Below are 12656 nucleotides of genomic sequence, written 5' to 3' on the forward strand. Positions count from 1 at the left end.
AAAAGAAGGGATGAAAACAGAAAACTTTTATATTGTCAAATGTTGTAAACAAAGTCAACAACATGATAAACTGAAGAAATTATTGACAGTGGACATGGCATACAAGATGTTAAGTCCATGATGTATAAAGAGGTTCGGATCAAGGAGGGACAGTCCTATGGAAACTGGGCCGAGTATATAACGGAATCCACCAAGGAAGAAAGCGGAATGGCCAATAAGCATATGCAGAGATTCTTGACTAGTAATCAGAGCAGGGCAAACAAAACAACCCATATGCCAGTTTTTGTTTATCATATTGTAAAAATTTAAAGATTGATGATCTCTACCCCGCACAAGAAACGAGGTGAACAGGTGCTCTTGAAATACTGTGGATGTGAATACAGGTTGACTGAGCTGGTATCTCCACTGCCACCACCGTCGTCCAGGCTGCTGTGGGCTCCAGCCTGAACTGTTATAAATGCCCTAGCACCTTTTCTTGGCCCAAATCACTTCTGGACACAAATCAGACCCTGCTACACTACTCTTTAAAACCCTTCAGTAGTTTACGCTCTGCCCAGTTTGAACACTGAACCCCATCACCCGTCCCTCAAGGCTCTGCGTGGCCTCACTCCCGTTTACCTCTTCATCCTCATATAGGCCCCCTTCCGTGTTCCCTTGCCCTTCATCCACACAGGTCACACGCAGCTCATTTCCTCCCGGGTGCTGCTGTCTTTTCTGCCTGGAGCCTTTGCAGTTTGCAGGTGTTTTACTCTGGAAAGTCCCACCTCACCTCCACAACTTTTCAACCTTCAGGTCTCAGCTCAAGTGGCACTTCCATAGGAAGCTGTTTAAAATAAATGCCCAGTAAAATGGTCTTGGTTAAATACGTTATTGTACAGCTACACACTGGAATGCTCTGTAGCTGTTTGGAAAAAAGATAAAATGCTTGTGTTTTCCCTAGGTAAAGATGTTCATGATGTGTTATTAATTGAAGAAGTTTGAGAGTAATTTGTATAGTTTGCTACCATTTTGGTAAAAAATGTGTACCTTCATATATTTGTGATTTTATACACACACACACACACACACACACACACACACACACACACAGAAAAGAGTCCAAAAGGATACTCACCAAGAGTAATTGGCTGCCTTTTAAGGAGTACAATTTTGGGGTGAGGTTCACATTTTAAAAAATAACTATTGAAATATAATTTTTATACAATTACATTTTTGCATGTACAGCATTTAACAAATGTGTGTATCCAGGCAAACCCCACCTCAGCTCAATTCTGGCCCCACCCTAGGAATGTTGGTGGCTGTTAGGGTTATTTTGGTTGTTTGTATAGTGAGTTCCTGCAGTCTGTCTCCCCGGGAGCGTGCGGCAACTGATGTTTTGACTTAGGTCTTTTGGTTCTTTTGGTTTTTAAGTTCTTGTTTTTATCTTTAAGCCTGTCTTCCTGAGTGCTGGCCCTGGCTCCGCATAGCTTAGTGGTCAGCCACTGATTGGTCAGAGGTTGTGCTTCAGCACCCCTGATGTGTTTTCATAACCTCCCTGGGTGTGGGGCTTCTCAGTGGCTGCTGCAGCGTGGAGCTGGAAAGGAGGGAAGTGGGAGCCGCCCTGTGTAGAAACACCATGGGCACTTGCTGTTCTTACTGAGATTCCGTGTTTTTTCTTAAATAAGCACTTCTCAATCTGTTCTATAATTTTGGTGAATTTCCAAAGTACTAAAATGGTTGCTTTTGACAGTTTCATCCAGTTTTATTATTGCTCCTGGGAGAGAGATTTTGCCGAGCTCCTCCCTGTGGCATTCCAGAAGTCTGGATAATTCATACTTGCATTTATTTATCGTTAAAGATGTCTCGGTAAAATTATTTCACCTGCTGATGTTACCCAGGTTCCCGTTTATTTTCATTGCACAGGTTCCAGGATGCCAGTGCTGGCTGGGGTGGCTGTATAACTCTAAATCACAGAGATCTGTTACCCATTACCATGGCCTCTTAGGTTCTATGCTAAACTCAGGGAAATTCTTGACTCAATTCTATTATCAGAAGGGTATAAGGGCAAGTCACCTCCCACCCCTCCCAGAAAATATGGGGCAACATTGAGGGTGGGAGCAGAAGAGACTATCCCAGTGGCCTCCCTGGCCCCCAGTTCACTTTGCAAATTGCTGAAAGTTCACGCTTTAGGACTGCTTTCATCCTGGTTTTCCACTCAAAGGTAGACATTGGAATTGCTGGATTGTTAGGAGTCGTATGGACTTTGCTTGTCACGTGGAGATTTGAATCTTAATTGGGACCTGGCAGAGGCTTTGAATACACAGGTTAATGTTTCTAATGTATACCTCACTTTGCCGTTTGCTTCAGCTACATCGCAAACCCATAGCTGCTTCTCTGGCTGTTGCCGTCGTCTCGCTATCCCTAGCCGCCTCCTTTAACCTCTTGTCAGCTGGAAAGATTATTAGGAGCCATGAATGTCCTTTAATATGGTTATCTTTGTTACTATTGAGTTTACAGTTTTTCACCAGAATCTATGTGCCTCTTTCTCTTCTTTACCCTAATTACTGTCCTAACATTGACCCAGCCACCAGTACTAGGGATGCCCTAGCTTTATGCTCACCTATTTTATCCATAAAAAATCTTCAGACCAGCCTGGGCAACATAGCGGGACCCTGTATCTACCAAAAAAAAAAAAAAAAAAAAAAAAAAAGCTGGGTGTGGTGCCACACACCTGTAGTTCCAGCTACTTGGGAGGCCAAGGTGGGAGGATCGCTTGGGCCCAGGAGTTCAAAGCTGCAGTGATCCCTGATTGCATGACTGCACTCCATCCTGAGCAACAGAGAGGGACCCTGTCTCAAAAAAAAAAAAAAAAATCTTCAGTGCCCTTTTCATGCTCCGGTTTTGGATTCAGTGGCCTAATTCTTGCATTTTCTGACTGCAGGCATTGATGACGGGGAGCCTTCCTGGCTTTGTCGACGTCATCAGGAACCTCAATTCTCCTGCACTGCTGGAAGACAGTGTGATAAGACAAGCAAAAGCAGCTGGAAAAAGAATAGTCTTTTATGGAGATGAAACCTGGGTTAAATTATTCCCAAAGCATTTTGTGGAATATGATGGAACAACCTCATTTTTCGTGTCAGATTACACAGAGGTCAGTTTTTAAAATAAGAAAATATATCATACTAGAATATCATACTAGATAGAGCCTGGCATCCCATTACTTAGTGAGAGATGATACCATTTTATATTTGGTTTTATTAATTTATAGGGAGTACTATGGACAGGTGTAAAAATTATTCACTCACATAATCAGTTAACAACCCAGAAATACAAACCTGAAGCAGGTGTGAGCAGAGTTTTATGGAACCCAAAGCTTAGAACAGCTGAGTGCCATTGAGGGGCAGAGAGGATCAGGAAGGGTGACACAGCCAAGGGACTGTCTGAGCCGAGATATGATGGGTGAGTGGGGACTCCCCAGGTGGGCAGAACAGGCTGGTAGCTTCTGCACATGGCAGAGCTGTAGGACTCCACAGCCTGTTGGTTCTGCTGCAAGCGGAGCCTCATCGTGCCCTGAGGGCAGGTGGCCGACTGGGTGGGGCCTGGTCCTGAGGGGGTTTTCCTGGAGCTTTTCCAACAAAAATTAGACCTGCATGTTAGAAAGCAGACCTGGGGCTGAGGTAGGAGCACACCAGCACACCTGCCTGGCCTGGGGTTTAGCCAGCTTCACCTCCTAGATGGCTGGGCCTTATGGAGCATCTGTAGTCCTATCCTGTTCCAAAGTGGGGCGCTTTTCAACAGTTACTTTTCAGTAATGACTGAGTTTTCCTGACTATATATGGCATCACTGAGAAACACTTCTCTTCATAGGAGATTTTTTTAGTGGGAGGGAGATGAGCTAGCTGAGGGGTCAGGGCTCACCAGGCTGACAGCTCTATTGGGGGCTGATCAACTGCTCATCTCTCCTCCGTGATGTGTTTATTTCAGAAATCAATGTGATCATTGAGTGCTGTGTCTTTTTCAGAACAGCCTTCTTGTAGGACACATGTAGATGCCCTCAGCTTCATCATCCTGCTGGTTACTTTAACGCTGGGTACTGTCCTGTCTTTAATTAACTGCCCTTTGCCCTTAGTTACCTCATGACAACTTGGGATCTATTTAACTTGCCCATTTGCTCACCTTCAGTTATGCCCATTAAGCCCAGCAGTGATCCCACAGAAAAATATTTTTGTCAGAAGAACCCTTGCTCATTTAAATTATCTGTAGAATATATTCGATCCATAGCCCAGAAACATAAAAACAATATTAGCAAAAGTTTAATCCAATGCTAATGTTCATTTATTTATTATAGACGTGGGGTCTTGCTATGTTGCCCAGGTGGGTCCTGAACTCTTGGCCTCAAGCAGTCTTCCCGCTTCAGCCTCCTCAAGTGTTGAGATGAAAGGCATGAGCTGCTGTGTCCAGCCTATTTATTTATTTTTAATGACATAGATTTTGTTGTGTTTCAACTCCCCCAAATCCTGTAACCTGAATAAACCCCTAGATTTTAAGATGACTGTTGCGTTTTCCCCGGGGAGTGAAGATCCAGGGAAATTAGGTGAGTTGTTTATACGTGTGTTTCCCCTTCAAAGGTGGATAATAATGTCACGAGGCATTTGGATAAAGTATTAAAAAGAGGAGATTGGGACATATTAATCCTCCACTACCTGGGGCTGGACCACATTGGCCACATTTCAGGGCCCAACAGCCCCCTGATTGGGCAGAAGCTGAGCGAGATGGACAGCGTGCTGATGAAGATCCACACCTCACTGCAGTCGAAGGTGAGGCTCGCCGTCGCTCACTGTCTGCTGATGTGGTTTCACGTGGATGTTCCCTAGAATAAATGCAACCGCCTGAGTTATTCAGGGTGCCTGTGTGAATGTCCACCATCAGTCTGCTAGCCAGGGGCCGCATGCCACACGGGCAGCACTGTCTCAGTGTCCACTGCACTGACTCCGTCTTCCAGCAGCCCTGCAGAACAGCAGCTCTCACTCCTACCCGTGTATGCATTCATTCAACTAATACCTCCTGAAGACCTTTTGTGCCACTCTCTCTGTTCTGTATCACTCTCTCTGTTCTGTGCCACTCTGTTCTGTGTCACTTTCTGTTCTGTGTCACTCTCTGTTCTGTGTCACTCTCTCTTCTGTGTCACTCTCTGTTCTGTGTCACTCTCTCTGCTCTGTGCCACTGTCTCTGTTCTGTGTCACTCTGTCTGTTCTGTGTCTCTGTTTCTGTTCTATGTCACTTTTTGTCCATGCATTTGGGTGCATCAGTGAAACAGTCGATAATCCCTCGTGAAGCTCACGCTCTAGCCAGGAGAGATGAGAAAGATGAGTAAATAAGTATGTGAGGAGGTGATGGGTGCTGCAGAAACTCAGAGGGCAGGAGGAGGGGCTTTCAACAGCGTGTTGAGAGAAGCCTTCCCTGAAGACGTGTGCAGGGTGAGCAGAGACTTGAAGGGAGGGAGGGGCAGACCATGTGGTCTGTGCACGAGTGTTCCAGGAGGACCAGCAGCGAGGGTCAGGCACAGCCTGCCTGGCTTGTCCCGGAGCAGCAAAGGATGTGTGGCTGCAACCCCAGGGGCAGAGAAGCCTGGTGGGTGCCCCCACATGGCTCAGAGCTCTTGCCTTTTGCTGTGTGTTGTGTTCTCACCAGAGTCCTGTGAAAGATTCCATTTGACAGATGAGGCGACCAAGGCACAGAGTAGAATGCGTCCAGAGTCTCACAGCTTGGCAGTGGCAAAGACAGAAACCAGATACAAACCGTCTGCCATCAGAGGGCAGAAATGCAGCCTGCTGTGCTCCATGAGCTGTGTACAATTCTGTGAACTTCATTTATGGCATTATTTGACTGTGACCCTGTGATCTGGCTATGAGCTCATAGGAAAAAAAAATCTAATTCATTGAGAAAGAGCTACAACTCTATAAAGTAAAGCTAAAACCGAAAATTGTCTTCTTAAGATGATGTGCTCTCTTCAGTCTGAACGCAGTTGAAATGTTTTTCCTTTGCCTTAAAGGAGAGAGAGACGCCTTTACCCAATTTGCTGGTTCTTTGTGGTGACCATGGCATGTCTGAAACAGGAAGTCACGGGGCCTCCTCCACCGAGGAGGTGAATACACCTCTGATTTTAATCAGTTCTGCGTTTGAAAGGAAACCCGGTGAGAATTTAGGAATGTTAACAGTTGGAAATTGTATTACATTTGTTTTCTATAGTCTGGTTTTAATTTTGAAAACCTATTTTTTAGAAGCTCCATAAGGTTGAAGTCCCCAAGCAATGTGAGCATGAAAAGTAATTGGGCAAAAGGCTTTTGGGATCTGAAGTTACGTTCCTTCCCGAATCCTTAAAATACAGTTATTCTTTGTCAGAATTTTGTTGTATGAATGTTGCTGCCTGGATATCTGGAACTGTTGAGAAAAATTGCCAGTAGCTCAGAGACATCTGGACAGCATGTGTGAACTGAAGGAAACGTGAATACCTCGGCTTTTTTAAAAGTTTGCATTATTGTAAACCATCTATTGAATAGCAGTGTCAACAAGAGTCATGGGACCCGGCCAGAGCAGGACAGACAGAGGCCCCGTCTGTCAGTATTCAGACACGCCCCAAACACACACACACCCCACTCTGACCTGTGCCCAGACTCAGCCGCCAGCCTATGCACTCTGCCCTCGCGGCCGCCGGCCTTGCTGTCCTGTCGGCGGCTGCCTTCCACTTGCGCCTGGCTTCTGCTGCCACACTCGCTGCCTCACTCTTGGTGAGCTCAGCGGTAATTTCTGCCGTCAGGCACAGCAGACGCTTTCGGGCGCTGCTCTCACTGACCCTTCAGCACCCTTAGTGCTGCTGGTCCCGTAGCTTCTGGGACCTCACATCTTTCTGGTTTTCCTCCTTTTCTCTCCTTTGCCAGCCTAGTTTCCTTTCCCTGGTCTTTTTTACTGGACTGCCTTCTTGTTTCGTTCTGCATTAGCCCTGGAGATACGGTCTCATCTGCCTCTGTGGTTGTAAATGCCGTGGATAGGCCCCACACCGGTCAGATTGATCTCTCTAAGTGTCCCCATTCATCATTCTTGGCATAATTTGTCATTGCAGACTTATTGATGGATTTTGTTTATTTATGGGATTCATGTAACATCTGCCTCCACATTACACTTTAAGCCAGATGAGGACAGGACCATGTCTCTTTTGCCCACCATGATCTCCACCTGACCTCTTATATCTTTTTATGAAGCTTCTTGGCCGAGACCAGCTCGGTCCGGGAGACTTTGACCCAGCAGCGCTAGAGGAATTAAAGACACACACACAGAAATACAGAGGTGTGAAGTGGGAAATCAGGGGTCTCACAGCCTTCAGAGCTGACAGCCCTGAAGAGAGATTTAGCCACGTATTTATTAACGGCAAACCAGTCATTAGCATTGGTTCTACTGATTCTAAATTAACTAAAAGTATCCCTTATGGGAAACGAAGGGATGGGCTGAATTAAAGGAATAGATGGGGCTAGTTAACCGCAGCAGGAGCATGTCCTTAAGGCACGGTTCTCTCATGCTATTGTTTGTGGCTTAAGAATGCCTTTAAGCGGTTTTCCACCCTGGGCGGGCCAGGTGTTCCTTACCCTCATTCCCGTAAACCCACAGCCTTCCAGCGTGGGCGTCATGGCCATCATGAACATGTCACAGTGCTGCAGAGATTTTGTTTATGGCCAGTTTTAGGGCCAGTTTATGGCCAGATTTTGGGAGGCTTGTTCCCAACACTTCTTCATCTTGAATGTCTGACCTGAGCAGAGCTAGGAATGGTGGGGGCAGCTGCATGCGTGCAGGCTGCCTGCAAGTGCCGGACTCATCACCAGCTTCAGTCCTGAGAGTTGGTTCTGTTTTGTTTTCTTTATTCTCATCATACCTGTTTCGTGAGCCAGGACTGTACTCTGGTGTACTCACAGCATTGGGCCACCATCATCACAGTCAATTTTACATCATTTTCCTCACCTCAGAAAGAAACCCCATACTCTTCTGCAGCCACCTTCCTCTTCCCCAGCCCAGTCTTCTCTCCCTCCCCCAACCCTAGGTAATCAGCGTCATTGTCTGTAGATTTGCCTCTTCTGCATGTTTTGTGTAAATGAAACCATATGGTCTCGTGTGCCTGGCTTCTTTCATGTAGGATAGTGTTTTTCCAGGTTCATAGTTATAGCATGTATCAAGACTTCATTTCTAGGCCAGGCACTGTGGCTCTCACCTGTAATCCCAGCACTTTGGGAGACTGAGGTGGGTGGATCACCTGAGATCGGGAGTTCGAGACCAGCCTGACCAACATGGAGAAACCCCGTCTCTACTAAAAATACAAAATTGGCTGGGTGTGGTGGCGCATGCCTGTAACCCCAGCTACTTGGGAGGCTGAGGCAGGAGAATCACTTGAGCCCAGGAGGCGGAGGTTGCAGTGAGCCGAGATCGTGCCATTGCACTCCAGCCTGGGCAACAGGAGTGAAACTCCCCATCTTTAAAAAAAAAAAAAAAAAAAAAGAAGACTTCATTTCTTTTGTTATTAAATAGTCTTCCATTGCATGGATTTAACACATTCATTGACCATTCTTGAGCTGATGGACATTTGGGTTGTTTCCACTTTCTGGCTGTGATGAATAATGACGCTGTGATCATCTGTGTGTAGCTTTTTGTGTGGATGTATATTTCCTATGTTGTCATTTTCTTACCCAGTATAGCTGTGCCCCCACCCGCCACCTCTGTGCTGTTATTGTCAAATATGTTGCTTTTCTGTATGTTATAAACTGATGGCATAGTGATATAGACATGGTTTTATATAATTGCTTTTAAATCAGGAGAGGAAAGAAGAAAATGCTTTTATAGTGTCTTTCATAATTATATGATTACCTTTACTGATGCTCTTTGCTTTTTTATGTACCTGAAATTTGATCTAGAGTCACTGGCTTTCAGCCTGAAGAACTTCTTTTAGTATTTCTTGTAAGGCAGATTTGCTAGCAAAGAATTTTTTGTTTTAGAAAATATCCGGGATGTCTATTTTGTCTTCTTTTTGGAAGGAGTTTTGCTGACTGTAAGACTGGGTTGGCTGTTTTTTCTTTCAGCACTTTGAATGTGCTGTCTCACCGCCTTCTGGCCTCCATGGTTTCTGATGAAAAGTCAATTCTTAATCTAATTGGGTTTCCCATTTCTTTGTCTTTTACCATTTTTGCTATAATGTATCTGTATTTTATGTTTACTCAACTTGGAGTTCATTGAGCTTCTTGCATGTGTAGGTTGATGTGTTTCATCAAATTTGGAAAATTTTCAGTTGTTTAAATTGCATAATCTCTATTGATCTATCTTTAAATTGCTGGTTCTTTCTTCTGCCAGTTCAAGTCTATTGTTAAACCCCTTTAGTGAATTTTCTGTTTCAGTTATCATACTTTTTTTTTTTTTTTTTTTTTGAGATGGAGTCTTGCTCTGTCACCCAGGCTGGAGTGCAGTGACACGATCTCGGCTCACTGCCACCTCCGCCTCCCGGGTTCAAGCTATTCTCCTGCCTCAGCCTCCCGAGTAGCTGGGATTACAGGCACCCACCACCACCGGTTAATTTTTGTATTTTTAGTAGAGACAGGGTTTCACATTATTGGCCAGGCCGATCTCAAACTCCTGACCTTGTGATCTGCCCACCTCGGCCTCCCAACCATTATCATATTTTTTTAACACCAGAGTTTCATTTGATGCTTTTTAAAAAATAATTTCTGGCCTGGCACGGTGGCTCATTTGTAATCCCAGCACTTTGGGAGGCCAAGGCGGGTGGATCACAAGGGCAGAAGTTCGAGACCAGCCTGACCAACACGGTGAAACCCCGTCTCTACTAAAAGTACAAAAATTAGCCAGATGTGGTGGTGGGCGCCTGTAATCCCAGCTACTCAGGACGCTGAGGCAGGAGAATCACTTGAACCCGGGAGGCAGAGGTTGCAGTGAGCCGAGATCGCACCACTGCACTCCAGCTTGGCGACGGAGTGAGACTCCATCTAAAAATAGTAATAATAATAATAATAATTTTTATCTCTTTATTGATATTCTCTATTTGATGAGGAAAAGAAGAGCATGGGGAGATGGGAAGGAGATCGCATAATCCTCTATCGGGAGCTGGGGGAATGAGAGGGAGATCGTATAACCAACCCTCCTTCTGGAGCTGGGGGAAAGGGAGCTCTGTGTTCTGGGCTGCACCCACCACAGGAGAGTTTCTGCCCCACTGGGCTAGGAGGGGGAGGGAGGGAGCAGGCCACGGTTCAAGGGCTGCAGACTCTTAGGCTTCTTACCAAGGCCTAGTGGATTTTCTTGAATAAAGATTTCTTTGTTTGTTCTGTATCCCTAGACAATTTCCAGAGACTGTGAATGGTGGTAGTGGTGGTTTTTAAAATGTTTACCACTTATGCTTGTTTTATTGATAAGCAAGTTTATGGAGCTACTCTTAACACTATTCCCTATAGTTCTGAAGGATTTTTATCTTAAAAATGCACGGAAATTTTTGTTTTGTTATGTTAATAAAAATAAATGTTAAAATGCTTATTATTTTGAAAATAAGCGGTTTTGGATTGTGTAGTGAGTGACTTCAGAGACCTTCAGCCCACCACCGCCCACCCCTAGAGTGCTGACCTCCCTGTGTGGGCAGTACAGGTCTGGCCACTCCAGAGTCAAGGGGTGTGGGAAGGAGAGCATGCCTGTACCTGGACTTCCACAGAGGGCAGAGCAGGTCTGTTTTATTTTCGGCCTCTTGCTACTAGAATGTTTGACCCTGTTTGTTGTTCTGTTCCCCTGGTACCTGGCACCTAGTGGATGTTTTATCATTTGTGGATTGAATGTTGAAGACTCAGCAGGCGAGCCAGTGGAGGTAGAGACCGGCGGTGAAAGGATGCTGCTGGGCTGTGGGAATGGTTTTCTGAAGTGCTGGAACTTCTTTCATGGCCCCTTATCGTCAGTGGGGCGCAATCCACAGGCCTACCCTGTGTTTGTATTTCAGAATTACAGTTATTAAAATAGTTTGTGCAGGCAAGAACTGGTCACAAACCAATCAAAGGTGCAAAATCAAGAGGCCAGAAATAGACCTCAGTGTATCTGGGGACTTGGTGACAAAGGTGGCATCTCAGATTAGTGCAGAGAAGACATGGTGCTCAATAAATGATGCTGGTACCCCTGGCTGACCTTTTGGAAAAAGGTAATGCAGACTCTCTGCCTTATTCTTTACAACAATATCAATCCAGGTCAAAGCATGTTAACGTCTTTAAAAGACTACAGTATGGAAAATTCTGGATGTAGAACGGTAGTCACAGTCGTATAATAAACCCCCAAGTCCAGCTTCACCAGTTACTGGCCAATTACAGCCAATCTTCTTTCATCCGTGCCCACACTCATTTCCCTTCTCCTTTATTATTTGGAAGCAGACCTCTAAAAGGTACGTGCTCTTTACCCCCATAATCTTGATACCCTTATCACATTTAAAAAATAGTGTTAATTCCTTAATATCACTGAGTAGTGTTCATATCTCTAATATCTGTTTCTCTCTCTTTAGGTGTTTCAGCTTGTTTGAATCAGGCTACAAATAAGACCATACACTGTGATTTGTTTATGTGTCTCTTAAGTCTCTGTAAATCTGTAGGTCCCCAGCCCCAAAACTCTTTGCTTTACTACAGTTTACTCGTGCACATTTCCTTCTTGAGACCTACAGTCAGCGATTTCTCCAGGATGCCCTGCTTCTTTTTAGTGGAAGGTGGTATTTCAAGATCACTGTCTCAGAGCTACCAGTGCTAGCTCTGAGTGGTTGGTCATTGTTTCTAGACAGAAAGAAGAAATTGTTTTAAGATAAAATGATCTTGTGTTTGTATCGATTCACCTTCAAAACTGTAAAATGACTTCTTAGGTCTTACATCTGTACTTTCTTCTTCCTAAGTTTAGAATCTTGGTTGTCAGCAACTCCAGATATGATAGAATTAGCATATCACATAATGACTCATTGGCTTTATCCCGCAATAGACACGCAACAGTCTCAGAATAACAATGCCAGTGCTGCCACTACCAGTATGAGGGTCAAAAGCAATTTAAGGTGGGTTTGTTTTTGTCTTTGTGTTTTATTTTTTGTGTCAGCTCAAAGCACTTAATGTAAGAAAATACTAGAAGAAAGAAGTACTGGAAGAAAACGGCCACACTGGAGTGGAAGGTTCTTTCTAAGCATGACCTAGAAGCCGTCATTAGAGAGTTGGCCAAGACCTGATTAATAAATTTGACCAAATTAAAAACTCGCTACAAAAAACTTACCACAATCAAAGTAAAACCTCCCCAGACTCACACCTGAGTATCTAAAGACACCTCACGCACCACCTATCCTGAGTAGCCGTCCCTGTGGCCTCTTGGCGCCCTGCCGGTGTACGTTGAATTCCAGGGTGTGGAGCTGTTTGCTGTCTTTACAGATGAAAACACTTCGACCAAGTTGAGTTTCTGCTCCGAAATCATAGTGGATGGTGGCAGAGCAGTGGCCTAGGCCCATGGTGCTGACATCACAGCCATTCTTGCAAGGAGATGGTAGGATAGCCACTCACTGTTCAGGCTTGAGCTTTAGCCAGCAGGCAGATGTCCAGCTTGTCCAAGTTGATTAGAGCACCCGGCCCAGCTGAACC

General features: G+C 45.0%; 1 protein-coding gene across 38 annotated transcripts in view; it reads left to right on the top strand.

Moving 5' to 3' along the window:
- PIGG (phosphatidylinositol glycan anchor biosynthesis class G (EMM blood group)) overlaps positions 1-12656 on the top strand; it is a 40991-nt gene that overhangs the window by 3588 nt on the left and 24747 nt on the right. For 36 of the 38 annotated variants that reach the window (NR_144326.2, NR_144331.2, NR_144329.2 and 33 more), the window contains 3 exons: positions 2921-3130; positions 4608-4796; positions 6032-6173. Coding sequence is in view for 23 of the 38 variants with exons in the window: in NM_001345986.2 (NP_001332915.1) it covers positions 2921-3130; positions 4608-4796; positions 6032-6173 (541 nt within the window). In the remaining 15 variants the exon portion in view is untranslated. The remainder of the gene's footprint in view (positions 1-2920; positions 3131-4607; positions 4797-6031; positions 6174-12656) is intronic. The other 2 variants (NM_001345988.2, NM_001289052.2) reach the window with 2 other exon arrangements.

The sequence above is a fragment of the Homo sapiens genome, chromosome 4 (assembly GCF_000001405.40).
Source record: "Homo sapiens chromosome 4, GRCh38.p14 Primary Assembly".
NCBI lineage: Eukaryota > Metazoa > Chordata > Mammalia > Primates > Hominidae > Homo > Homo sapiens.